Source organism: Homo sapiens, chromosome 10, assembly GCF_000001405.40.
Source record: "Homo sapiens chromosome 10, GRCh38.p14 Primary Assembly".
Classification (NCBI taxonomy): Eukaryota; Metazoa; Chordata; class Mammalia; order Primates; family Hominidae; genus Homo; species Homo sapiens.
The window spans coordinates 63,127,593-63,155,499 of record NC_000010.11 but is presented as its reverse complement, the minus strand read 5'-3'; the positions used below and the strand labels follow the sequence as shown (position 1 = coordinate 63,155,499).

At 43.1% G+C, this 27,907-nt stretch overlaps 1 protein-coding gene across 3 annotated transcripts, besides 2 other annotated features; it reads right to left on the bottom strand.

Moving 5' to 3' along the window:
- Window positions 1–475: 475 nt before the first annotated feature.
- On the bottom strand, window positions 476–22,172 carry NRBF2 (nuclear receptor binding factor 2). Of its 3 annotated transcripts, NM_030759.5 has the most exons (4): window positions 22,000–22,172; window positions 9,207–9,291; window positions 3,310–3,350; window positions 476–1,989 (listed from the first exon to the last, which is right to left on the bottom strand). In NM_030759.5, exons 1-4 carry the CDS (start codon window positions 22,027–22,029, stop codon window positions 1,282–1,284), a joined length of 864 nt encoding a protein of 287 aa, NP_110386.2. In that variant the 5' UTR covers window positions 22,030–22,172; the 3' UTR covers window positions 476–1,281. The 3 variants fall into 3 exon arrangements, with proteins under 3 accessions (NP_110386.2, NP_001269334.1, XP_047281088.1); NM_001282405.2 differs by lacking the exon at window positions 9,207–9,291; XM_047425132.1 differs by lacking the exons at window positions 9,207–9,291; window positions 22,000–22,172 and adding an exon at window positions 5,144–5,272.
- Window positions 21,626–21,895: a silencer, noted in NCBI's record as "silent region_2406". NCBI's record gives its function as "represses an Ori minimal core promoter by ATAC-STARR-seq in GM12878 lymphoblastoid cells {active_cell/tissue: GM12878}" and the evidence as "EXISTENCE:reporter gene assay evidence [ECO:0000049][PMID:35858748]".
- Window positions 22,106–22,355: a silencer, noted in NCBI's record as "silent region_2405". NCBI's record gives its function as "represses an Ori minimal core promoter by ATAC-STARR-seq in GM12878 lymphoblastoid cells {active_cell/tissue: GM12878}" and the evidence as "EXISTENCE:reporter gene assay evidence [ECO:0000049][PMID:35858748]".

The following is a 27,907-nucleotide window of genomic DNA, read 5'->3' as shown; positions in this document are numbered from 1 at the left end:
GAAGGCAATATATTTTTCTCACTTCTGTAATTCCACACAGCAAATCCAAGCTTTAAACATGCCCAGTAGCTTGCACCCAAATGTTTTGCTTATATTCTCCTCTTCCCCTTCCTTCTCATGGAACATCATCCAGCTTGGTAGAGAGAATCCAAAGCAGCACTTCCCCACACTATGCTCTGACAGGGTGGCAGGTGCCCAAGGGACAGCTGCCTCCAGCCTAGAGCAGCCCTGAGCATTTTCCATGTGGTGGTCAGGAAAAAGGTTGGAAACAATACATTTAAACCTCAGGAACTTCTGTACTCTCTGTCACCCTAGTTGTAAGGGAAATGGACTACAAAACACTGAAAGAAAAAAAAAATCCTTGACACACAAAAGTAATCATCTAACCGCATCTGTTCAAATTCAAAGTTTACAACGCACAGAGAAGCCACTCAGTGCCTTGCTTTTTAACTATCAACCACGTTCAACAAAGGTATAAAACACAATTACTTTATTGATTTCTTACAATAAAATACTGCCAACTAGCATTACGTCCACTCTTGCATCATTAAAAACAAAGGGTATTTCCTCCTTGGTATTTTCAAATGATGCATTATACAATAAACGAAGTTAGAACTTAAAATGCACCCTGATTAATTATGTAAACTGGTAATTTGTTTTAAAAAGCATAATAATTTGGTTCCTTTCTTCATAAAATGGAAATTTAAATATTTCTTCTGATAGTCTTGAGGTTATCATTATGAGTAGTGCAAAGTGTGGCACATATAGTTTCATCTAGAAGGGTGTGTATCTTACACACCTTAAACAAACAGAATGTGCATTAACAAAATGCATACAGTCAATGCATGATAGAAAGCATGTTTCAAATATAAGGCAGCCCCTCCGGCCACCATATTATTTAGGTTTTGCATTATCATTTATGGCATTATAGATTAATTACACATAACTTTTATACATTTTAACCCTGAAGATAAGAAAAATAACTGTTGCTTGAAAGAAATTCTTCCAGGTAGCCATTTGGTTTGTATCAGGAGAAACCGAACCTCCATGAGTTTAGCGTCTGCCAAGTCGGAATCATTAGCTGAAGTGAGTGAATGAGATACGCAGCGCATTTCACAGTGACTGTTTCCCAAGTCCTGGCAATGCCTCTGCTCCCACAGTCCACCAGATGAAGCATTTCCGGGATTACCCTTCTATGTGGTTTTCCCTTTTCATTTCTTTTTGCTGGATTAACGATTACTGTATTATTTCCTCTTTTCCCCTTTTCTGTGGCCTTCCATTTTAATTATTCATAAATCCTTTCAGAATATCCTCAGAGAGCTCCATAAGAGGAAGTTCTGGAGATGGAAAATCCAAGGGAGGAAGATTGGGGATTGGAATGTCCTTGGCTTTCCCAGTATTTGCTGCGAACTTCTGCCAGGTTGAGGAGGCTGTAGCAGTTTCTGCATGTGGTGGCAAGCTCCATAACTCTGACGTTTCTACAAAATCAGCATCTACATCCAGCTCCTTTTCTATTGGACCTTTTAGAAGTCTGGCCTTTTCAGCCTTTAGTTGTTTATTTTCTTTCCTTAATCTTTCATTCTCAGCCACAAGGAATTCCACATGCCTCTTCAAATCTGCAATTTTGGTTGCCTGCTCCTCTATAATTGTTTTATCATCTTTTGGGGCTTTGCTTCCAATACATGGCTCTGCTGGCTCACTCTTTTGCTGAAGTAAATAAAGTAGTGTGTCTGGATCCCTGTCAAAGATCCCCTGAATCTCAGGCAGGCATTTCTCTGTGGAAGGGCTGTACTTCTGAGAAAGGGGACTCTGGCCCTCTGCATCCTCTGCAGAGGGTTTGTGAGATGTCTGAAGATGGGCAGCTGCATCCTTGTCTGTGTTCTGCTGGGCTTTCAATCTTTCTTCACGCTGGGCCCTTTTCCATCTCTCTTGGATGAGGAGGAGCTGTTTCATATGGCTATCCCTTTGCAATTCCAGTGAAAGATGAGCCTATTACATAGAAGGAAAGATAAAATTGGAAGAATATTTTAAGTATCTTAGTAATGTCCAACATACACTATTCAAAATCCTTTGTGAATAACCCAACACTTACAATTTACAATTTACTATGTTTGCAAAAATACCATTCAGAAAGTCAGAAGTCCTATTCCCAATCAATACACTAAATTGGATGTTTTCCTCAATGTGCCTGACCCCATGTGTAATGTCATTTGTACTCAAAATTAGAAATCTTTCCTCTGTAGACATATTAATTCTACCAACAGCTAAAAAGAAAGTCTTCCTATCAACCGCGTGTTTGGATAACTCAATGCATGCCTGTATCATGAGCAGATTCTATACTTTCAAAGGCAGTGAAAGGGATAGAACACAACTTTAAAGTTCCCTTGGTTCAGTTTGAGAAACTAGTGGCTTTCCCTGCCACTGATATACCTCACAGAAATGATCTCTTTAACTAATACTTTTATAACAAAAAGTTTTTAAAAAGATATTTTATATATATTTATTTTAGAGACAGGGTCCCTGTTGCTGAGGCTGAAGTGCAATGGCGCAGTCATAGCTCACTGCAGCCTTGGACTCAGGTGTTCAGTGATCCTCTCACCTCAACCTCCCAAGTAGCTAGAACTACAGGCATGTGCCACCACGCCCAGCTAATTTTTTAAGTTTTTGTAGAGATGGGGTCTCACTGTGTTGCCAAGGCTGGTCTCGAACTCCTGGGCTCAAGTGATCCCCCTGCCTTGGCCTCCCAAAGTGCTGGGATTACAGGCATGGGCCACCATGCCCAGTCTTATGAATAAATGTATCTTGAAACACTTGGCAGGGCCTCCCCAAACACAGAAGACAATTTAAAGCAATTGGTGAAACAAATTTAAAAGTGCCTGAACTGCTTAAGAATTCAAGCAAAGACAAGTGGGAGACTGGTCAGATTTAAATTATCTTTGACAAGCAAAGGGTGGTCCAACTAGTTTCCTCTTGGCCAGGCCTGTTTACTGACTGTAAGCTAATGATCAAATAAGAGCTAATGATTAGGAATGGTCCGAAGAGGGCTCTCTAAAAGGTACATCTGGCTGGCAATCTGAGATCTGTGAGTAACCACTAGAAAAAAAGAAGTTTCTGCATTCCATGTCTGGGGCATCGACTGCAGTTCATTTAGTTTTAATTTCCGTTGTGAAGTGCTCTTCCCTTGCCCATTTTATATATTTTTGACTATAGCATTTTGAGAGGGACACAATGCTTTGCTTTACACACAATTCAAGCCTCCACAAGAAAACCTTTCTAACCCTTGTCGCAAATATTGGGAATATGTCTCACCTGCTCTGACTGTGTCAGCTTCATGGCTTCAGAAAGATATGCTGTTAAGAGAAAAAATAGGCATGTTAATATGTGTCTTCATTTTGTAATTAACAGGTAAAAGGAAGAGTTTTAATAATCTTCATATGACAAAGAGAACTGGTCTGATAACTCTGATACAATTGGGGATTTTTTAAAAGAATTCTTAACTTCCCCCAAAAGGATGTCAGTGGCAATAAAATGAAAATATTCCCTACCCTATCTTGAAGGTTTTGTTATTTAAAACTCCTACAGATTTTATAATTCAGAAACTGAAGATGGTCTAATCAGAAAAATAGGTTTAGGAAAGATAAAAATCAAACAAGAACCTATCCAAACCCTATTACTCATCATACTCACAAAAATATCATGAGATTATCAATGACTTTTTATCCGTCTGAATACCTGGAATCTATCATTTTGGACTCCTATAGAATCACTTTTAATGAATTGTCTCTGAGTTAAACCATCAGCCTTATGGTTAAAAGCCCTAAGAACTTGTTGACATATTTACTGCGAGGAAGTTACTGAGGACAGTATAATGTCATTTATGAAGACCTTCAATAAACTTCTCTCTGATCTTAGATCCTCGGTGACTATTTGTTTGAATTTTAATAGCCAATGTAAAAATTATTATCTTTCCTCTTTAGGATGACTGCTAGAAAACTTAAGTCAAGTTCTTAAAAAAATATGCAAGAACTAATGGTACATTTTGTGAACTACACTACTAGTCCTTTCTCATTTTCTCTATGGATGTCCTTATCTATGTATCTTTAATTACATTCGATATTTTATTGTACATTCATCTGTAAGACATTTTATAACCTTTCGGGAACAAGGTTAGGTATAAATAAGTTCTCTATTATCAATGAATTGTCCATAATGAATCTCCATTTTTATCTTGCTTGTTATAAACATTTTTGGCATCTCTCATACCTACATTAAGTTCCTCTTTTGCCCTTTTGCAGATACTACGAGGCATTGCTTTCTGTCCAGTCTTAATCCAAATAATTTAATGCTTTGATGTCATAACTTAAGAGTTCTTGCCTGCTAGGTTCTACCACAGTCTTTAAGATACAATTATATCAGGGGTCCCAAACCCCCAGGCCGGTACTGGTCTATGTCTTGTTAGGAACTGGGCCACACAGACAGCAGGAAGTGAGCAGCAGGCAAGCCAGTGAAGTTTCATCTGTATTTACAGCCACTCCCCATTGCTTGCATTACCGCCTGAGTTCTGCCTCCCATCAGATCAGCAGCGGCATTAGCTTCTCATAGCACAAACCCTACTGCAAACTGCACAAGCAAGGGATCTAGGTTGCACTCTCCTTATGATAATCTAATACCTGATGATCTGTCGCTGTCTCCCATCACCCCTAGATGAGACTGTCTAGCTGCAGGAAAACAAGCTCAGGGCTCCCACTGATTCTACATTATGTTGAGTTGTATAATTATTTATTTCTATTATTACATTGTAAAATATAAAGTGTACAATAAATGTAATGTGCTTGAATCATCCAAAAACCATTTTCCTGACCCCAGGTCTATGGAAAATTGACTTCCACAAAACCAGTCCCTGGCAGCAAAAAGGTTGGGACTGCTGAATTAGATGCTCCCTTTCCAAGAAAAAGAAGAGTTGGAGCCAGGCGCAGTGGCTAGCACTTTGGGAGGCCAAACAGGAGGACTGCCTGAGCCCAGGAGTTCAAGACTAGACTGGGTAACATAGCGGGACCCTGTATCAATTTAAAAAGAATTTAAAAAAAAAAAAGGAAAGAAAAAACAGAGTTGGTTATACAGTCTTTGCTCCAGCTATGCTTACCATAATTACATCCTTCCCACAACCCTTGTCTTTTTTTCCTGTAGTATGTCTGTACAGCTGCATACTATTTCTTTTCCTTTTGTTCATGTTTAAATCTGTGAAGACGGCCGGGTGTGGTGGCTCACACCTGTAATCCTAGCACTTTGGGAGGCTGAGGCTGGTGGATCGCCTGAGGTCGGGAGTTCGAGACCAGCCTGGCCAGCATGGTGAAACCCCGTCTCTACTAAAAAAAAAAAAAAATACAAAAATTAGCTGGGCGTGGTGGCAGGCACCTGTAATCCCAGCTACTAGGGAAGCTGAGGCAGGAGAATCGCTTGAACCCATGAGGTGGAGGTTGCACTGAGCCGAGATCACGCCACTGCACTCCAGCCTGGGTAACAGAGCAAGACTCCGTTTCAAAAAAAAAAAAAAAAATCTGTGGAGACATTCTAACTGCTCTGCTACCGCTCTGATACACTGTAGACACATTTTCTTAGACATCTCTTCCATCTTGCCTGCATATATTTGTCTCCCTGTTTGAACTATAGTTTGCTTTAAATCCACTTTCTTAACAAACAATAGTTTTCACAAAACCAAGCTTTAGCCAACTGAAATGCCACCCTTTGTAGAACCTTGAAATTGTATATGACAAAGGAGGTTACAGAAGGATATCCCAAAGCACAAAGAATTCAACAAGAATCATACTGTCATTTAAAGTATTCCCCACATTTAAATCTTATAAGTGGGGCATTTTAAAGTTATTTTTAAAGAAAAAAATTATTTTAAATCTGATTCCATGTTCATGGATTTCTTCCACAGACTCACAATAGAAACAAAAGTATAGCAACACAGAAATTTAGAAACAGAGTATCTCAAAAACTGCTAACAATCCTCGTTAAACTACTTCCTTTAATTATGACACGAGGCTAAAATTTAAAGTAGATATTAAGCGAATGATACAATAAAGGAACTAAGGAAATCTGAAGAATATCTTAAAATAACAACATTGGGCCGGGCACAGTGGCTCACGCCTGTAATCCCAGCACTTTGGGAGGCCAAGGTAGAAACCCTGTCTCTACCAAAAAATACAAAAATCAGCCAAGTGTGATGGCGCATGCCTGTAGTCCCAGCTACTTGGGAGGCTGAGGCAGAAGAATCACTTGAGCCTGGGAGGCGGAGGTTGCAGTGAGCTGAGATCATGCACTCCACCCTGAGCAACAGAGCAAGACTCTGTCTCAAACAAAAACCAAAAACCAAAAAATAGTAACATCTATTACTCTTCTAACAGGAATCTGTTAAACTGGTCCCAACGCATACAAAGTGCAGCAATATACTGCCTCTGAATAAGGATAGAATCATTTTCATGTTACCAGTTTCAAAAGGCTTAGGTTAAGATTTGTTTTCAAACAAAATATTCATCAAATCCATCCAAATACTGTGTACTCTGGGGCCTGCTCATCTTCTGAAATGCTCACTTTGAGTTCTAAGCACTGCCAATGGCTATTAACTTATTTCAGGTTTTGTTCTTTTGTTGTGTATGAAAGAAGAGAAATTCACTTAGGGATGTGCTTATCTGGCAAATGAATGCTCACATGCTCAGTTTCATTTAATTCAGCCATTGTCCACCTCAAGAGTAGATCCTACCTTTCCTCAAAAGGCAAGAGACATCAAGCAACTTATTTCAGCACATTTACAATACAAACACTACAAAGAGGCTATAAAGTCCTTAGCTAGGTAATCTCACGGTAAGTTTTTTAGTCTCAGAATCTCCTCTGATCTTTGACAGGTGGACACCCAGGTCCCCTCTGTTTGCCCTTAAATTCTCTCAGTTCAGCCTTTCCTTCCTATTAGTCTTTCTCAGATGTTGATCTTTCCTTGTCACATCTCTAAAATGATTTCCAAATAATAAGTTGCTTCCTTTCAGAATACACCTAACCCATACCTTCCAAGACCAGTTATAAGCCCTAGAGATGCAAGTCAATTTCAAAAAGTGAGCTCATTTCAACCACGTCAACTTTCAACTCCATTCTAAAACACAAGTTGGAAACCCAATCAACTCAGTGGGATTTACTAATCACATTAAGTTCTGTCTCTATAATTTAAGCTAATGTGATCTAACAGTTTGCCGTATTTTTCTGGAGTGGGGAGTGGTTAACTGAAGCCCAACATCAGTTTTAAGTCTTCAAAGACAAGGATTAGGTTACAACTAAAATTTCCTTCTCTTTATATATTCATAACATCCCATAGCTCAGTGCCTAACATATGCTGATTCACTCCACTTAACATATGTTATATATATGTAACCATGACCATTTTGGGTTACATAAGGTATTGTTTCACTAGGGAATCCATATAAAACATGGTTTTCTTAAATAGTTAAACATGGTACATCGTCTTTGTAGTGACTACAGATTTAACAATCTGATTCATAACAAAATATGGTTTAGGAAAGATTTAAAGAGCACTAGTTGACATGTTTAATACTGTACAAAGCCCTCTCACCATAAAAACACCCAAAGATTTATGGAATATCTACTGTATGCTTGGCCCTACAGCAGATAACTCCAGTACACTTGAGTGGCAAAACTATTTCTTTTTTAAAAAAAGCGGGGGTGGGAGGCTAGGGGAGGGATAGCATTAGGAGAAATACCTAATGTAGACAACAGGTTGATGGGTGCAGCAAACCACCATGGCACGTGTATACCTATGTAACAAACATGCACATTCTACACATGTACCCCAGAACTTAAAAAAAAAAAAAAAAAAGGCTGAGAGCAGTGGCTAACGCCTGTAATCCCAGCGCTTTGGGAGGCCAAGGCGGGTCAATCATGGGGTCAGGAGTTCGAGACCAGCCTGGCCAACATGGAGAAACCCTGTCTCTACAAAAATACAAGCCGGGGGTGGTGGCACACACCTGTAGTCCCAGCTACTCGGGAGGCTGAGGCAGGAGAACCACTTGAAACCAGGAGGCGGGAAGTTGCAGTGAGCTGAGACGGTGCCACTGCACTCCAGCCTGGGCGACAGAGCAAGACTCCATCTCCAAAAAAAAAAAAAAATTTTAATTTTCTCTGAAAATTACCAACTTCCAGGCAAAAACCACTGTAGTAAGAAGACTTATCCAATCTACTGCCCACCTTGCAGTCTGTATTTCACAAGTAAAATAACAAGGGAGGGGCAGCCTCTGTCAAGAAAGAATATGGCTCTGATCATCATACTGGCCTAGAGGGAAAGGAACATGCCTGCCAGCAGAAGACTTCAGGGTTTGCCCTAAGAAAGGTGACTTGCACTCATTTTGGATGAGGCATGAGTAAAACATCCTTTACCCAAAGATTTTTAAATTTTTTTATTTTTATTTTTATACTTACCACTACACTAACGAGGACCCAAAGTTTTTTGGTTACTCAGCCAACAGAAACTGGTCTAAGCAAAACAGGCCCCCAAGATCTATTTCTGAATTCAACATATGCTAGGTTGCTTGACTGACTAGGGTAAAATTAGGTCTTTGATAAGAAGCTAACAATTCTAAAATTCATACTGAAATGAAAGCTAACATCAGCATGTTACTACAGGCATGCATGTAGAGATGAGATATTCAGAAGGGAAGCTAAAAAAAAGACCACAGGAAAAATCTCCCACATTTTAGGTAACAAAAGTCTTATAGTAAGTTTTGCATTATCAGCATGTTAGAAAACAGAAGCTCAGTGAAAATGAATTGGTTGGAATTGAATTGAATTACTATTTTTAGAACCTGAAATGGCCAACTATTTGAAACCCAAACTCCTTTTTATAATAACTAAGATAAAATGGCAGACTTGTTACAATCAGCTCCTGTTTTTAGGGATCTTTGGGCTCAGAGAGCTGTATCCAGGAACTGTTTACCACATTTATGCCATCTTCATGATTTAGAAAGAAGATTGGATTAGCAGGAGCTGGGAAATCCAACACACTTACTTGAAAAATAATCAAAGCTGATATTCTGGTGGGTCAGCAGTATCAGTCTTGCATATGAAAAGCAACACACATTATTACTATTGTGACTTTCTGCTCTTCAGTTTTACACTGAGTACTTAATAAGAATACTCACCTGCAGCCTTTTTGTGACAAGAAATAGCCTCTTCGTATTTGCCTGCAGCTAATAAACGGTCTGCTCGTCTGCTCTGTTGATGAGCCTAGAAGACAAACATCCCTAAGTTCCTCTGGATCATAAAATAAAACATGATTTCTTTCAAAAAGCAACTACCTTTTAAGAAGATAAATAATACTGTTTTGTTGCCACATATCAAATCACTATTACAGCTCTATCTGTAGCTGGGGAAATGTAATGGGTAGAGCCTAGAACTGCAGCATCTGAAAGGAACTGGCAACTTCTTTCACTTCTACCATAAGCCCTCTCAAGGTTAACACCAGGCACTTAACTCCTTCAGTGACTCACATTCTTCCACTCTTTGGAGATAAACCAAGAGTTACAATCATAGATTGTTATTCAAAATGTCTATTTTCTTGATTTTTAACAAGCTCCTTTCAAAACAAGAGCTATTTTGTAGATACTTTCACTAATCTGTATAGTCTAAAAACTATAATCAGGAAATCACTCATCATGTAGTAAAATCCAAGCTTCTCTTCTATCATCTCATTCTTTCAACATTAAAGTTACTATTTGTTTTTAAAATAAAAAATTTGGACATTGCAGTTGATGAATTCATGATACCAACATCTAATATTACAAAGATTGTTTTAAAGATATCTCATCAAAAGAACAAAGTCAAAAAAATCAGAAGTTCTAACAGCAAATAATGTAATTGAAGGAAAACTTATTAAATAAGCAGTCACTGGCCTCCTTACACTTTAATAATTTCAAAAGAGCTTTAAGTCCAGGCACAGTGGCTCATGGCTGTAATCCCAGCACTTTGGGAGGCTGAGGCAGGCGGATCATCTGAGGTCAGGAGTTCAAGACCAGCCTGGCCAACATGGTGAAACCCCATCTCTACTAGAAATACAAAAATTAGCTGGGCGCAGTGGCTCACGCCTGTAATCCCAACACTTTGGGAGGCCGAGGCGGGCAGATCATGAGGTCAGGAGATCGAGACCATCCTGGCTAACAGGGTGAAACACCGTCTCTGCGGGCGCCTGTAATCCCAGCTACTCAGGAGGCTGAGGCAGGAGAACTGCTTGAACCTGGGAGGCAGAGGTTGCAATGAGGCAAGATCATGCCATTGCTCTCCAGCCTGGGTGAAAACAGTGAAACTCCATCTCAAAAAAAAAAAAAAAAAAAAAAAGCTTTAATATACATTATTTCAGCTGCTTTAACTACGACTTTGTTAATGTGTTTTCCTCTCTTACATAAGGAGGCCCAAAAGACTGATGGGGAGGTCGTGTAACTTACATAAGATTATACATTTAACTAGCAAGGAGAAAGGCAGAGATAATCAGCTAAAGTTTTCTACCTCATGTAACGATTTTCCTCAGTAACAAACACACACGATTTAGCAAAGCTTCACAGCTTCACAAAAAAGCAAAAAGCATTGTACACCCATATTCATAACAGCATTATTCACAACAGCCAAAAGGTGAAAGCAATCCAGATGTCCATCAACAGATAGATGGATAAATGCAGTATACACACACAATGGAAAGGTACTGTCTTTAAAAGTAAGGTAATTCTGGCCGGGCGCGGTGGCTCACGCCTGTAATCCTAGCACTTTTGGAGGCCGAGGCAGGCAAATCACAAGGTCAGGAGATCGAGACCATCTTGGCTAACACGGTGAAACCCCGTCTCTACTAAAAATACAAAAAAAATTAGCCAGGCGTGGTGGGGGGCACCTGTTGTCCCAGCTACTCAGGAGGCTGAGGCAGGAGAATAGCGTGAACCCGGAAGGCAGAGCTTGCAGTGAGCCGAGATCGCGCCACTCCACTCCAGCCTGGGTGACAGAGCGAGACTGTGTCTCAAAAAAAAAAAAAAAGGGAAGATAATTCTGACACATACTACAACATGGATGAACTGTGAGGACATTAGACTGAATAAAATAAGCCAGTCATAAAAGGACAAATACTATACAAATCGACTTATTGGGTATCTAAAGTAGTCAAATTCTTAAAAACAGGAAAGTTGAATGGTGGAACAACTCATCATTGAACAGGGGAGGGGGAAATGGGGAGTAGGTATTCAAACGGCATAGTTTCAGTTTTGCAAGATGAAAAAATTCTGGACATTTGTTGCACAACCATGCGAATATACTTAACACTACTAAACTGTACACTTAAAAATAATTAAGAAGGTAAACTTCACGTGTTTTTTACATCACTTAAAAAAGGTAAAAAGTGGCTGGGTGCTGTGGCTCATGCCTATAATCCCAGCACTTTAGGAGGCCAAAGCAGGCAGATCACTCGAGCTCAAGAGTTTGAGACAAGCCTGGGCAATATGGTGAAAACCCATCTCTACAAAAAATACAAAAATTAGCCGGGTGTGGCGCTCGCACCTGTAGTAGTAGTCCCAGCTACTGAGGAGGCTGAGGTAGGACAATCACTTGAGCCTGGGTAATGGAGGCTGCAGTGACCTGTGATCGCACCACTGCACTCCAGTCCGGGCAACAGAGTGAGATCTTGTCTCAAAAAAAAAAAAAAAAAAAAATCGGGCATGGTGGCTCATGCCTGTGATCCCAACACTTGCGGAGGCCAAGGCGGGTGGATCATCTGAGGTCAGGAGTTTGAGACCAGTCTGGCTAACATGGTGAAACCCCGTCTCTACAAAAATTAGCCCAGCAGGATGGTGGGTGCCTGTAATCCCAGCTACTCGGGAGGCTGAAGCAAGAGAATCGCCGCTTCAACCCGGGAGGCAGAGGTTGCAGTGAGCCGAGATCGCACCATTACACTTCAGCCTGGGCAACACAGTGAGACTCGGTCCCAAAAAAAAAACAAATCTGTTCTGTCAGTTAGCTGAAAAATGATTTGTCTTGGATGCTTTTTAAAGACATGTCCCTTTGATGCTGCATAAAAGTACTTCACAGAATCACGTTTGCAACTGAGATTATAAATATTCTGGGCATGTTTACAAATCATACTCAGTATAAAACACAGGTGAAGACAAAAGTAGAAAACAGCACTTCCAGCAATGCCTTGCTGTTTGCCTTTTCCCCACTTCTATTTTTGTAGGAAAGAAGCAACAATCTTAAAGACAAGATTCGTGCCTTTCAATTACAGGATTTCAGATACTTTTTATTTTTTAAATAGTAATCAAACTTTCCTCTAAGTCTTAACATATGCCTGGGAACAACAATAGGTCACAAGAAATGACTGGGTAGGCTGGGCGCAGTGGCTCATGCCTGTAATCCCAGCACTTTGGGAGGCTGAGGCAGGCAGATCACTCAAGGCCAGGAGTTTAAGACCAGCCTGGCCAATATGGTGAAACACCATCTCAACTAAAAGTACAAAAATTAGCCAGGCATGGTGGCACATGCCTGTAATCCCAGCTACTCAGGTGGCTGAGGTACAAGAATTGCTTGAACCTGGAAGGCGGAGGTTGCAGTGAGCTGAGATCGTGCTACTGCACTCTAGCCTGGGCAAGAGAGCAAGACAGCCTCAAAAAAAAAAAAAAAAAAAAGAAAGAAAGAAAGAAAAGAAATGACTGGGGGCTTAAAATAATGGATGAATTTTAACCTGGAGACTTGGACTGAGCAAAAAATACATTCTGAACACATGAGCATTTTCTAGTACCCACAAATTATACAGGTATTTTGGGAAAAGAATGTACATGATGAAGAAAGCTAGTATGCACAAGCAGTTATGATTAACCTAATTTCTCTAATGAACATGTTTTGATACTATTAAAGCAAGTGGTATTAAATCAATAAGCAATAAGGCTCTAGGTTTTAATGAAAATACAAATCACCTGGTTAAAATACAGATTCTAAAAGGCCGGGCATGGTGGCTCACACCTGTAAGCCCAGCACTTTGAGAAGACGAGGCAGGAGAATTGCTTGGACCAGGGCGGCAGAGGTTGCAGTGAGCTGAGATCGTGCCATTGCACTCCAGCCTGGGCAACAAGAGTGAAACTCCATCTCAAAAAAAAACAAAAAAAACAAAAAAAACAAAGGTTCTGATTCAGGAGGTTTGGAGTACGGCTTGAGATTCCACCCAGGTAAAGCCAAAGTTGCTGGCTTATGGATACACTCTAAGAAGCAGGGATGAGATGCTATTTCAGGTTACTTCATTCTAACACCTTTTTTCTATCTGTGTGTGTCGCTGATGATTTCAATCACTTTCTTCTAGTATGGATATTTATGTAGCTCCATAATTAAACTTCAAACTCTGTGATGACGGAATAAATTCTTAATTGAACACCAAAAAAATAAAAAGTTCTCAAACAGTGAGAGCAGGTCCTCATGGCTCTCCCAGCTCCCTTAAAACATCCCCATGTAGAGTCCAATCTCTAACCAGTCTGCCAATTTAGGAGTTAAATCTCATTATAGTTTCAGATTATTACTGAGCTCAACAAAAACACACCATCTCCTCTAGGTTATTTGGCACCAGAGCAATCAAATTTCGTATTTTAAGTACATTTCCTACTATGTTCTTATCAGACACACAGCAAACTCGTTATAGAGCTCGACTGCCAACGTTCAAATCTCAGTTTGACCACATATGAGACACATAAGCCCGGCTTTCCCAATTATCTGCCTCAGTTTTCTCATCTCTAAAATGAAAGTTATTGTCTGCTTATGTAAATTTGATGGCACCAAAAACAAAAGAGTTTGTGAAAATTAAACTAGTTGAAACATCACAGTGCTTAGAATGGTGCCTGGTACTGGTACATACTCGATATAGCCCTCGTTAAGTACTACAAAAGACAATAGAAGTGATGGAAGTACCTGCCATCAAGAAGTTGACAATATAGTTGGGTCTAGACTGAATTGCATTTTAAAAAAATTTTCATCTTAATTACTTTTGAGACAGGGTTTTGCTCTGTTGCCCAGGCTGGAGTGGAGTGGTGCAATCATAGCTCACTGCAGCCTCAATATCCTGGGCTCCAGCAATCCTGCCACCTCAGCCTCCTGAGTAGCTGGAAATACAGTCACACGGCACCACATCCAGCTAACTTTTATTTTTTGTAGAGGTGGGGTCTTGATATCTTGCCCAGGCTGGTCTCAAACTCCTGGGCTCAAGCAATCTTCCTCCCTCACTCACCCAAAGTGCTGGAATTATAGGCATGAGCCACCATGCCCAGCTAAATTGCATTTTTTATAAACTGAAGATTTTACAGAAAACCTATCTTGGTGGTGCTTCTCATTTTTAAAACAACTTTTACAGTTTACACATATTAAAACTAGTCTCTCTTTAAATACTGTTCTTGGTAGAATCACAGCCATTAAAAGCACTAGGCTGAGGCCAGGAGCGGAGGCTCACGTCTATAATCCCAGCACTTTGGGAGGCCGAGGCAGGCAGATCACGAGGTCAGGAGTTTGAGACCAGCCTGGCCAACATAGTGAAACTTCATGTCTACAAAAAATACAAAAATTAGCCAGACATGGTGGCGCCCACCTGTAGTCCCAGCTACTCGGGAGGCTGAGGCAGGAGAATCGCTTGAACCTGGGAGGCAGAGGTTGTGGTGAGCCGAGATTGCGCCACTGCACTCCAGCCTGGGTGACAGAGTGAGACTCCATCTCAAAAAAAAAAAAAGTAATAGGCTGGGCACGGAGGTTCATGCCTATAATCCCAGCGCTCTGTGAGGCCGAGGTGGGAGGGCTGCTTGAGACCAGCATAGGCAACATAGTGAGACCCCATCTCTACAAAAAATAGAAAAATTAGCTGGGTGTAGTGGTGCACACCTGTAGTCCCAGCTACAGGAGGGACTGGTAGGAGGATCAGAAGCTCAGGAGGTTGAGGCTACGGTGAGCCGTGATTACGCCACTGCACTCTAGTCTGTGGGACAGAGGAAGATACTGTCTCAAAAAGAAAAGGGTAGTAAGTCCATAAACATGTTTCTCTGGTAATTCAAAGAAATTCACAATAAAGCAGTCCCACCTCTGTGTACTTCCTAGGCAATCCATATGATTCTGTGGGACTTCCCACATTCTTTTTTAATTGCTTGATGGGTTACGTTAGATTGAGGTCTACAGCTGTGGTTGCCCATCATTTCTGACAGATGATTCGTTTTGTAAACAGCTGACATAAACTTATGGTATTGATAACTATAGTATAGAACTATATTTTCTCTTCCTTATGATTTCCTTGCTGTTTTTTTTGAGATGGGGTCTCATTCTGTCACCCAGAGGCTGGAATGCAGTGGCATGATAACGGCTCACTGCAGCCACAACCTCCTGGGCTCAAGTGATCCTCCTATCTCAGCCTCTCAAGTAGCTGGAACCACAGACATGTGCCACCATGCTCAGCTATTTTTTTTTTTCTTTTGGTAGAGACCGGTTTTCACTATGTTGCCTAGGCTGGTCTTGAACTCCCGGGCTCAAGCAGTCCACCTGCCTCGGCCTCTCAAAGTGCTAGGATTACAGGTGTGAGCTACCATACCAGGCCCACATTGTTGTATTACCTTGTCGTCTGGATACCTAAAGAATCCCTTCTCCAGATTTTCAAACTTAGGAGCAGACAATATGAAGAAAGTCTAATTAATGTGACATTCAGAGGCTAGCCAGGTGGAAATATAGGTCTGCAGAAAGGAGGAGTGAAGCAGACAAGCCTGAAAAGGCAAAAAAAGAGAGGGAGAGTCTGATTAAGTCGGACTGACAGGCTCTATACGGTCATAAACCAAGCTACATTATACCCCTGCCCTTCCTGCACCTTTCTTTGGAGTCCAGTAAATTATCTCTTTTGGCTTAAGCTAATTTCAAGTGGGTTTTCATCAACTACAACCAACAAAAATCCTAACTACAACAACTAGGTTACTAAGTGACTGCCATCACTGACAAGTACCTTTTACTTCCACATGCTAACTGCTTCAAAAATACATGTTCAATACTACCCTCTTTCCCAAAAGAAAACAGTATTACTTTCTATTATTTTTTTCTGTGTCCTTGGGGAAAGCTGTTAAGTAAAGATGAAAAGAAAAGGAACACCAGGCCAGGCGTGGTGGCTCACGCCTGTAATCCAGGCACTTTGGTTTGGGAGGCCAAGGTGGGCAGATCACGAGGGCAAGAGTTCGAGACCAGCCAGACCAACGTGGAGAAACCCCATCTACGCTAAAAATACAAAAATTAGCCAGGCATGATGGCACGCGCCTGTGGTCCCAGCTACAAGGAAGGCTGAGGCAGGAGAATCGCTTGAACCCCGGAGGCGGAGGTTGTGGTGAGCTGAGATTACGCCATTGCACTCCAGCCTGGGCAACAGAGTGATACTCTGTCTCAAAACGAAAAAGAAAAAAAGAAAAGGAACACCATATGAACACAGCACTGAAAAGGCAGCAGAGGAAAATCTAACATACACCTGACCTTATGGTAGGGTCTTCAGTTGAAAGAGAAACCTCACTCACTCCCCCTTTCCCAATCAATGTGCGTCTCCTACAAACAAGTAGCAAACAGTTATCTCAAATCAATAAGCACTGAATTGACTAAGTAATATAACGCAATTATACTGAAGATAAGCGCTCAAGTGTTGGAGAATTCCAGGAAAGACTTTTTTTTTTTTTTTGAGACAGAGTCTCGCTCTGTCGCCCAGGCTGGAGTGCAGTGGTGCGATCTTGGCTCACTGCAAGCTCTGCCTCCCGGGTTCAGGCCATTCTCCTGCCTCAGCCTCCCGAGTACCTGGGACTACAGGCGCCCGCCACTGCACCTGGCTAATTTTTTGTATTTTTAGTAGAGACGGGGTTTCACCGTGTTAGCTAGAATGGTCTCGATCTCCTGACCTCGTGATCTGCCCGCCTTGGCCTCCCAATTTTTTTTTTTTTTTTTGCGACAAGGTCTCGCTCAGTCGCTCAGGCTGCAGTGCAGTGGCGTGAGCTTGGCTTACCACTATCTTCACCTCCCAGGTTCAAGCGATTCTCCTGTCTCAGCTTCCCAAGTAGCTGGGATTATAGGCATGTGCCACCACACCTGGCTAATTTTTGTTTTGTTTTGTTTTTTGATACGGAGTTTCACTCTGTCACCCAGGCTGGAGTGCAAGGGCGTGACCTTGGCTCACTGCAACCTCCACCTCCTGGATTCAAGCGATTCTCCTGCCTCAGCCTCCCAAGTAGCTGGGATTACAGGCACCCACCACCACACCTGGCTAATTTTTGTTTTTAGTACAGACAGGGTTTCATCTTGTTGGCCAGGCTGGTCTCGGTGACCTACCCACCTCAGTCTCCCAAAGTGCTGGGATTACAGGCATGAGCCACTGTGCCCAGCCCAATCTTGCCTTCATATCCTACTATCACCACTTACCCTGCATTTCAAAGTCTTCATCTTTAAAATAGGGGGAATATCTCATATTTAGCTATTAAGAGGAAAAGATAAAAAATATACATAACGTGCCCGATGCCAATCCTACCACTTAGCAATAATTGCTGGATATCTCTTAGTACTCTCTACCTCCTTTTTCCAGAGTGCTTTCATTATGCCTAGCTCAGCTTGTGACAAAGAAATTTTCCTTGGAATTTTTCAGGGCAACAAAGAAGGGGTTCAAATTGCCTCTTTTTACCTTGAAGATTTTAAAGCCAATATAATTAAAATGGGATAGGTATAAGGACTCCAGGTATGCATAAGGCCATTCCTTGGACCATGATATCTGACTACTTTTCTTACAGAAGCTGGAAAGTAAGAGGCTTCATTAACTACCTCATGTGATGTGAGAACTGACCACTCTGGAGGGAAGCTGTTACTCAACAAACATTCTCAGCACTCTTAAGGGCTAAACACATAGAAAACGATTGTGGCCAGGCAGTCACATGGACCCTGCCCTTTGCAGCAGAGGTAAGCAAAACATGAGCAACAGCCACATATAAATTAAGATCTGACATCACTTTCCAAATCAGCAGCAAACAAACCAAAGAACTAGAAATTATCTCACAAGAGTTTTGACATTTGTTACCAGTAGTCACACTGACAAAATGTGTACGGAAAGAAATATCTAAATATACACTAATTTTATAAGTTATAATTTTTCCATATTTAAAACTGACAGGCTGGGCACAGTGGCACATGCCTGTAATCCCAACACTTTGGGAGGCTGAGACAGGAAGATTGCTTGAGGCCAGGAGTTCAAGACCAGCTTGGGCAACACAGCAAGACCCCATCTCCACAAAAAGTTTTTGAAAAAATTAGCTGGGCATGGTGGTGCAAACCTGTAGTCCCAGCTATTGTGGAGGGCTCAGGCAGGAGGATCCCTTGAGTGTGGGCAACAGAGTAAGACCCTGTCTCTTAAAGAAAAATTGACCAAAAAACCCTAATGAAACAAAGTTATTCAGAGTGCAAAGACTAGCTATTTTTTTCTTCAGTGGAAGTACAATTTTTCTTTTGACAAACTTCAATAACCAGATAATTAGAATCCATTACCTCTGTGGTACATATTAAAATGAATATTTCAAACTAGTCTCTTCCAGATCTTAAAAATTCACTGTGAGGAATTTCTAAGGCCCTTACTGCCAAACCTAACATAAAAGAATCAATACTGGAGCAGAGGTAATAAATGCTAACACAGAATCTACAGTTCAATATAGATGAGAACCATACTGAAATGAACATGATGAGTACAATATGGCAGCATTGCTAGAAAGAGGTCTTGATATCAAAATAACTCGTGATTCATAATGTATTTAAGTTACTGACCTAAGTAATTACCTAATTCTCTCAGCTTAGGCTTATTTATCTGTAAAACTGGAAAACACACCTTACTAAGTTCCGAGGATGCTCTGAGGACACATGATTACAAATCCATGTACTGTGATAAGTCCTTATACAATGAATTTGGACTACACTACGACGTCATTTGACAAAGCTTATTGCATTAGTAACTCTCTGAGTATAGAAAAAGAAAAAGCTTGTATAATACTAGTGGAATTTTCAAAGACATTCAAATTATAGCATTGAGAACTCTCATCTTGAGTCAACTAGATACTAAGTTAGGTGTTCACTGACATAAAAGAATGTCAGAATTTTCATAGCCGGGCAGGGTGGTGCATGCCTGTAATCCCAGCTACTCAGGAGGCTGAGGCAGAGAACTGCTTGAACCCGGGAGGTGGAGGCTGCAGTGAGCCCAGATCGCACCACTGCACTCTAGCCTGGGTGACAAAGCGAGACTCCGTCTCAAAAAAGAAAAAAAAAAAAAAAAAAAGTCTGAATTTTCAAAAACCTCATCTTATAAAACTGTGAGTGACAATTCTGAGTGCCAGAGGCCTGTAATTGGTACTCATTCAAGTAACCGTCAACGTCTGTTCTACTGTTACCTTCCAATAAACAACTATGCTGGAAATTAGATCTTTCAAGACTCAAATGGTTTAAGAATTCAAGGTGTCCGCCGGGCACGCTGGCTCACGCCTGTAATCCCAGCACTTTGGGAGGCCAGGCGGGGGGATCACGAGGTCAGGAGATCGAGACCATCCTGGCCAACATGGTGAAACCCCGTCTCTACTAAAAATACAAAAATTAGCTGGGCGTGGCGGCGCGTGCCTGAAATCCCAGCTACTCAGAAGGCTGAGGCAGAAGAATCGCTTAAACCAGGGAGTCGGAGGTTGCAGTGAGCTGAGATCGCGCCACTGCACTCTAGTCTGGTGACAGAGAGAGACTCCATCTCAAAAAAAAAAAAAAAAAAGAATTCAAGATGCCAAATTTCTGATACTTGCCTACATAAATTTTATGGCTGAAATACGGAGTTACGCTAGCCTGCTTAAAAAGACTCTGTCGAAACTCGCTCCGTTTTATGGAGGAGAATTTAAATGGTATTGCCACCATTTAACTAATTTTTCCTGAACTGGTAGTGATTCTGCAGTTCTATCTGCAACTGTCACCCAGTTCTAGTCTCCTTTTAAAACATCACACATTCGTGGGGCAGTTGGCGGGGGTTATTCTGCAGCCAAATAATGTGAAGCTAACTAGAACTGAACCAATGCTCATTTGGCAAGGACACCTGAACTCTGAAGCACTTCGTAAACAGCTGATTATTTCTAGTAATACTCCTGTGAAGTTTCAGTATTGAGCCATCCACTGTATTTCATTGCCAACTATATGTCGCCTTAAAAACAAGAAAAGTGCAAGACAGTTCCCTGGTTATTTGAGTCAGAGTCTCGCTCTGTCGCCCAGGTTGGAGTGCAGTGGCACAATCTCGGCCCACTGCAACCTCCACCTCCTGGGCTCAAGCGATCCTGCCACCTCAGCCTCCCGAGTAGCTGGGACCACAGGCGGGCGCCACCACGCCAGGCTATTTTTGTATTTTTTGTAGAGACCGGGTTTCGCCATGTTGCCCAGGCTGGTCTCGAACTTCTAAGCTCAAGTGATTCGCCCGCCTCGGCCTCCCAAAGTGCTGGGATTACAGGCGTGAGCCCCGGCGCCTGGCCAGTTCCCTGGTTAAAAAAAACTCGCAAATGTAGTCCAATTCGTCTTAAGTGTAAATACCTACCACCTGGGGCAAGACCCAACTTAAAAGGGAGGGGCGCCTCACAACAGTTAACCTGGCACCAGTGATTTGGTCCGAGAATCTTAGGCTTTTAAAGCTCAAGTCCAAACCTTTATTCTACAAATAGATTTTAAATTAAGGGCTTATGGTCTGGTTATAATCGCTAACTCTTACACTGTACTATGTACTTAGTACAGTTCTAAGTGCTTTACACCTATTTACTCCTTTAATCCTCCCAAAAAACCTGAAGCCGAGTGAAGCCAAGTAGTTTGCCCAAGGTAACACAGATATCAAGTGACGAGGTTAGAATTCAAATCCAAGCAGCATAGCTTCAAAACCTAGAGTCTTAAACCACCTGACTCTACTGCTCTTCTAGGACTCAGAGTTCTAATGTGAGAAAAGAATCCTCTATAGAGCTTTCTTTCAATTCCACCATCGCAAATGAATTGCAAACCTGTGACTCAAAAGTTCTTCCTGTGTGCAACCTTAAGTAATCTGACTTTTACATCCAAAATGGGTAACCTCTCTGGAAAACTAAAAGATGCAATGGCCAGTCTGAAAAGAACTCATGCTTCCCGTTGTTAGTGGGGTTCTGTTGTGTTGTTTTTTAATTGCAACACCTGAAACGCCTTAAAACACAAGTAAACAGGCTATCAGCCATTTTCCTGAGAACAGCAAACACCTATTACACTTTCATGATGCCTAAATTGATGAATCTGAGCTAAATACAGGAACGGCTGTCTTTTTCCCAGCTGTCTCTAATATATTTGGAAGACGGTAGACTCAGTTTATGCATGTGAATGTATGTGAGAAATGAGGGGGAAGTGGAGGGTGAGGAGGGGGAAGTGGAGGGTGAGGAGGGGGAAGTGAAGGGTGAGGAGGGGGAAGTGGAGGGTGAGGAGGCTATTCACTCCTCCACCTCTCCAAAGCGGGGCGACTCAGACTCAGACCCTGCTGCTAGAACTTAAAACCAGTATCACACCATTTCTGCCTTGGCCGGCTTCAGTGCCTCTCCAGGCTGTAGGGAGGTGGCTACGTGGCGCTAAGAGGACTTCCCCCAGCCAGAGAGGAGGTGGCAGCCCCAGGTGGTGGCATCCCCTCGCCCGGGGCCCCGCGACAGGGGGCGCCAGGACTTCCCGGGGATCCCCCAGGAGGGCAAAGTCTGAAGTGGCTAGCCTGGAGCCGCAGTTGGGCCAGGGCCTGCCTAGCAGCCCCTCACAGCCTCTGCGACCACTCCTGCCAAACCAACCTCCCAGCCTAAAGGGTTAGCCGACGCGCCGGGGACGGGGCCGGGCTCCTGAGGCAAAGGCACCCAAGACGAACGCTATATTCTGTGGGACACTCACCAGGTTGAGGGGTCCTTCCATTACTTCCATAGACCCCGGGGTAAGCGGCGGCCTTAGGAAGGGGAGTAGTGGCGCCGGGGAACATGGAGGGGACTGCAAGGGAGCTCGACGCAGCCGCGGAGACTGCGGCCCCTCTCTGCGCCCCAAGAGCCAGCGATAGGCGCTGAAGGAGCAACAACCTCACCACTTCCTCCTCCGGCGCCGCGCCGCGGGCCCGCCCCCTGCGCCACCGCCGAGGCCACGCACGGCGCCATGACGTCACACGCGCAAAAGGCTGGTTCAAGGTGGGAATGAGGACAGGCAGTGGGTGGGGCCCAGGGAAGGCGGGGCACCAGCTGATGTACGCTTGCGAGCGGTCAATCTTTCCTCTCGCGAGAAGCGTTAGTTTAGGTTCTTAAAGTCTACACTGAAGTCACGTGAGGAGGTACAGCCTTGCTGTTGAAGACTTGAAATGGCTGTCTTCTGCAATTAGCTTCTCACGTTTCCTTTTAGACTGACTTTTCCTTAAATCTGCTAATCGTTACACCGTTACTTGTGGTCCTGTCCACACCTTTATCATTGTACATGATTCATTTTTTCAAAAGGCCGATTTGAGCAATTCTAGACCATGCACTGGACTAACCCCCCTAGAGGTCAGCACACTCGAATGATTTAGGGCTCTGCCCTCAAGTTGCTCACAAACTGATAGGGAAACAATTTTGGTCTAGCCAAATATAATACTGCATTCATTTAACAATTATGTGCCAAACAAAAGCTAGGTTCGTTCTGTCATGGAATTCACTGACAAATAGTTGTGATTTATGCTGGAAAGGGAACACATAGGGAGCTGTGATAGAGTAACCAAGGTGGAGTTGGGTGGTAAAGGAAAGCCTTTCATGGGGGGCGTGATTTTTTTTGAGAAAGTGTCTTGCTGACGCAATCTCCACTCACTGCAACCTCCCTCTGCCCGCCCCCTGCCCCAGGCGATCCTCACACCTCAGTCTCTTAAGTAGCTAGGAACTACAAGTGCTCAGGCCAGGTTAATTTTTGTATTTTTTGTAGAGATGGGGTTTCGCCATGTTGCCTATGCTGATCTTGAACTGCTGAGCTCAAGTGAGCTCAATGATCCGCCCTCCTGGACCTCACAAACTGATGGGATTATAGGCATGAGCTACCGCACCTGGCTAAGGGCGTAATCTTTAAGATTAAACCTTAAAATGCCAGTTAAACAAAGACCCTTCTCGACAAAGGAAATGTCTTATGCCTCAACTCTAAAGGCGGGGAGGTCGGGTGGCGGGAGCTGCAGCATTTCAGAGAGATGCAAAAGAAGATACCAGAGAGATAGGAAACTTCCAAAACATAGGTGTCCTTGCAGTGCACAATGAAACATTTGAATTTTACTCAAAGTGCATTGGGAAATAAGTAAAGGATATTAAGCTAGAGAATAATCTGCTTTAATTTACAGTTTTGAAAAGATTAATTTCCCTGTAATGTGAAGAATAGATTGTGGAAGGCCTAAGGAAAAAGAACCAAGACAAGCTAGTTGATTGACTAATTATGGGCGCTCAGACTGGAATGGAAGTAGGGAAGATTGGGTCATGCATCCACTCATTACATAGTTATCATGTTTCTACCATGTGCCGGAAACCTTGGAAGAGAAGTAGATATATTCAAGATATATTTTTGGGCATCAGGTTGAGAGGAGTTAGTGATGGAATGGCAGTAAAGCATACAGAAAATGGAAGAATCAAATCTCGTATTTAAACAACCAAGTGGCCTAGCACACTGGCTCACCCCTGTAATCCCAGCTCTTTGGGAGGTCAAGGAGAGCAGATCACTTGAGGCCAGGAGTTTGAGACTGGTCTGGCCAACGTGGTGAAACTTCATCTCTACTAAAAGCACTAAAACGTAGCCAAGTGTGGTGGCGCGTGCCTGTAATCCCAGCTACTGGGGAGACTGAGGCAGGAGAATTGCTTGAACCTGGAAGGCAGAGGTTGCAGTGAGCTGAGACCAATCACACCACTGCATTCCAGCCTGGGTGACACAGAGAGACTCTGTCTCTAAAAATAAAAAAATAAAAAAGTAAACAACCAAGTGGACAAGATAGTGAGAGACAGGACTAGCTGGATTTCCTAGGCCAACTAAGAATTCCTAAACCTAGCTGGGGAAGGTGACCACACCCACATTTAAACACAGGGCTTGTAACTCAGTTCACACCCGACTAATCAGGTAGTAAAGAGGGCTCACTAAAATACAAATTAGGCTAGAAGCAGAAGGTAAAGAAATAGTCAAATCATATATCGCCTGAGAGCACAGGGGGAGGGACAATGATCAGGATATAAACCCAGGCATTCGAGCAGGGAGTGGCAACCCCCTTTGGGTCCCCTCCCATTGTATGGGAGCTCTGTTTTCACTCTATTAAATCTTGCAACTGCACACTCTTCTGGTCCATGTTTGTTACAGCTTGAGCTGAGCTTTCACTCACCGTCCACCACCGCTGTTTGCTGCCATCACAGACCCGCCGCTGACTTCCACCCCTCTGGATCCATCAGGGTGTCCACTGTGCTCCTGATCCAGCGAGGCGCCCATTGCTGCTCCCAATCGGGCTAGAGGCTCGCCATTGTTCCTGCAAGGCTAAGTGCCCAGGGTTTGTCCTAATCGAGCTGAACACTAGTTGCTGGGTTCCACGGTTCTCTTCTGTGACCCACGGCTTCTAATAGAGCTATAACACTCACTGCATGGCCCAAGGTTCCATTCCTTGGAATCCGTGAGGCCAAGAACCCCAGGTCAGAGAACAAAAGGCTTGCCGCCATCTTGGAAGTGGCCTGCCACCATCTTGGGAGCTCTAAGAACAAAGACCCCCTGGTAACAATAGGAAGGAGCTAATTTGTATGGAAAATGAAAAGTTCTATCTTGGGCACTGTATTAATTTCCTATGACTGCTGTAAGAAGTTACTACCCATTTAGTGGATTAAAACAACAGAAATTTGGAGGCTAGCAGTTCTGGAGGCTAGAAGACCAAAATAATTTTTTTTTTTTTTTGAGACGGAGTCTCGCTCTTTCACCCAGGCTGGAGTGCAGTGGCTCGATCTTGGCTCACTGCAGGCTCCACCCCCGGGGTTCACGCCATTCTCCTGCCTCAGCCTCCCACATAGCTGGGACTACAGGCGCCTGCCACCTCGCCTGGCTAATTTTTTGTATTTTTAGTAGAGACGGGGTTTCACCGTGTTAGCCAGGATGGTCTCGATCTCCTGACCTCGTGAATCACCCTCCTCGGCCTCCCAAAGTGCTGTGATTACAGGCGTGAGCCACCATGCCCGGCCAAGACCAAAATAATTTCATAGCGCCAAAACAAAGGTATACAGCAAGGCCTTGCCCCCTTCTTTTCCAGCCTCTGGAGCTACATTCTTTGCATTCCTTTGACTCACAGCCCCTTCTTCCATCTTCAAAGCCAGCAGCACTGCATCTTCAAAGCTCTTGCTGCTTTTGTCATGTCATTTCCTCTTAAAATCCTTCTGCCTCCCTCTAGTAAGGACCCTGTGAATACATTTGGTCCACAAAATAGTTAAAGATAGTCTTCCTATCTCAAGGTTAACTTAATCATACCTACAAAGTCCCTTTGCCATATGAGGTAACATTCTCAGCTTCCACAGATTAGGACCTGGGTATCTTTCGGACCATTATTGAGACTACCAGAGGCATTGTATCTAAAGCAAATCAATGACATACTCAAAATAATCCCAGAAGGGTTTAATAAACGGACTGTTTTACAAAGGTGTGGCCAGAGTTTAGGTATTTACATGAGAAAAGCAATAACTCCTAGGCTATAAAGAAAGAAATAGAAGGGGCTGGGTACAGTGTCTCACACCTGTAATCTCAGCACTTTTGGGAGGTGGAGGCAGAGGTGGGCGGATCACTTGAGGCCAGGAGTTCAAGCCCAGCCTGGCCAACATGGCGAAACCTCATCTCTATCCAAAATACAAAAATTAGCCAGGCATGGTGGCACATGCCTATAGTCCCAGCTACTCTGGAGGTTGAGGCACGACAATAACTTGAACCTGGGAGGCAGAGGTTGCAGTGAGCTGAGGCCGCACCACTGCACTCCATCCTGGGAGATAGAGCAAGACTCTGTCTCAAAAAAAAAAAAAAAAAAAAAAAAAAGAAAGAGAAATGAATAAGAGGGAAATCTGAAATGAGGAGAAAAATGTAGAATATAGTTTGAAGAAGCACTGACCTTCAATCAAGGACACTATCCTGAGGTGACCTTGCAGGGAGGATCCAGGGAAATCACCTTATTTCCTCTTCCCCTGACTTCCATTGTCCAAACCCAATCAAAAGCCAGAAGGCAAGGGAGCCCATTGATGTAATTCATAAAAATCAGCCTCCAAGGGCAGGGAGCAGGGTAGTAAGAAGTAGAGACCGGATCTGGAAAGAGTAATACAAAATATCTGGCACATACAAATGAAAGATTTCACATCTGTTTTTGTTTGTTTGTTTGTTTTTGAGATGGAGTCTTGCTCTGTCGCCCAGGTTGCAGTGCAGTGGTGCGATCTCAGCTCACTGCAATCGCCACTTCCCAGGTTCAAGGGATTCTCCTGCCTCAGCTTCCCGAGCCACCTTGCCCAGCTAATTTTTGTATTTTTAGTAGAGACAGGGTTTCACCATGTTGGCCAGACTGGTTTCAAACTTCTGACCTCAGGTGATCCACCCTCTTCAGCTTCCCAAAGTGCTGGGATTACAGGTGTGAGCCACTGTGCCCAGCCAACATCTGTTAATAGGGAAACTTTAGACGAATTAAATGTAGAAGAGTTTACTGGAGCAAAGAATGACTCGTGAATCAGGCAGCACTCAAAATTTCAGAGAGCTGCCCACAGCAGCAGAGGCAGTGAACTTTTATTCCTTGAATGTGGAAGTAATTACTTGATTGGCTATAGCTAAGCATTTGCCCTATTTGGGTATGGTCTAGTGGAGAGTCCCTAGTGAGAGGTTTGTTGGTGGTTTTTTTTTTTTTTTTTCTGAGACAGCGTCTCGCTCTTTCACCCAGGCTGGAGTGCAGTAGTGCCATGTTGGCTCACTGCAACCTCTGCCTCCCGGGTTTAAGCAATTCTCCTGCCTCAGCCTCCTGAGTAGCTGGGATTACAGGTGCACACTGTCACGCCCAGCTAATATTTGTATTTTTAGTAGAGATGGGGTTTCACCATATTGGTCAGGCTGGTCTCGAACTCCCGACGTCGTGATCCACCCACCTCGGCCTTCAAAAACACTGGGATTACAGGCGTGAGCCATTGTGCTTGGCTGGTTGGTGATTTCTAACTGGTTAAGTTTTGTCTTGCTGGATTTTTTTTTTTTTTTTTTTGAGACAGAGTTTTGCTCTTGTTTCCCAGGCTGGAGTGCGATGGCACCATCTTGGCTCACTGCAACTTCCGCCTCCTGGTTCAAGCAATCTCCTGCCTCAGCCTCCCCAGTAGCTGGGTTTACAGGCACCTGCCACCACGCCCAGCTAACTTTTGTATTTTTAGTAGAGACGGGGTTTTGCTGTGTTGGCCAATCTGGTCTCGAACTCCTGACCTTAGGTGATCCACCTTCCTCAGCCTCCCAAAGTGCTGGGATTACAGGCGTGAGCCACTGCACCCGGTAATTTTGTTTTACTGTTTACATTGAATTGAGTTTTAGTTTGCTTAAGTAGGAGTCCAAGACCCAAGACTCTGGAGCCACCTCAGCCTAATAGCCTCCCTATTAATTATTTTCACACATCCAAGTGGATATGTGAGGTAGGCAGGTAGATATACAAGACTGAAGAGGCCGGGCGCGGTGGCTCACGCCTATAATCCCAGAACTTTGGGAGGCTGAGGCAGGTGGATCATGAGGTTAGGGGTTCGAGACCAGCCTGACCAACATGGTGAAACACCGTCTCTACTAAAAATACAAA

Excerpts from the sequence above, each read along its gene's own strand:
- NRBF2 (NM_030759.5), bottom strand. The coding sequence starts at position 22,029 with ATGGAAGTAATGGAAGGACCCCTCAACCTG. Across the intron at positions 3,351-9,206 it reads TTGTCACAAAAAGGCTGCAG|CATATCTTTCTGAAGCCATG; the intron begins GTGAGTATTCTT and ends TTCTCTTAACAG. Across the intron at positions 1,990-3,309 it reads AGCTGACACAGTCAGAGCAG|GCTCATCTTTCACTGGAATT; the intron begins GTGAGACATATT and ends TCTATGTAATAG.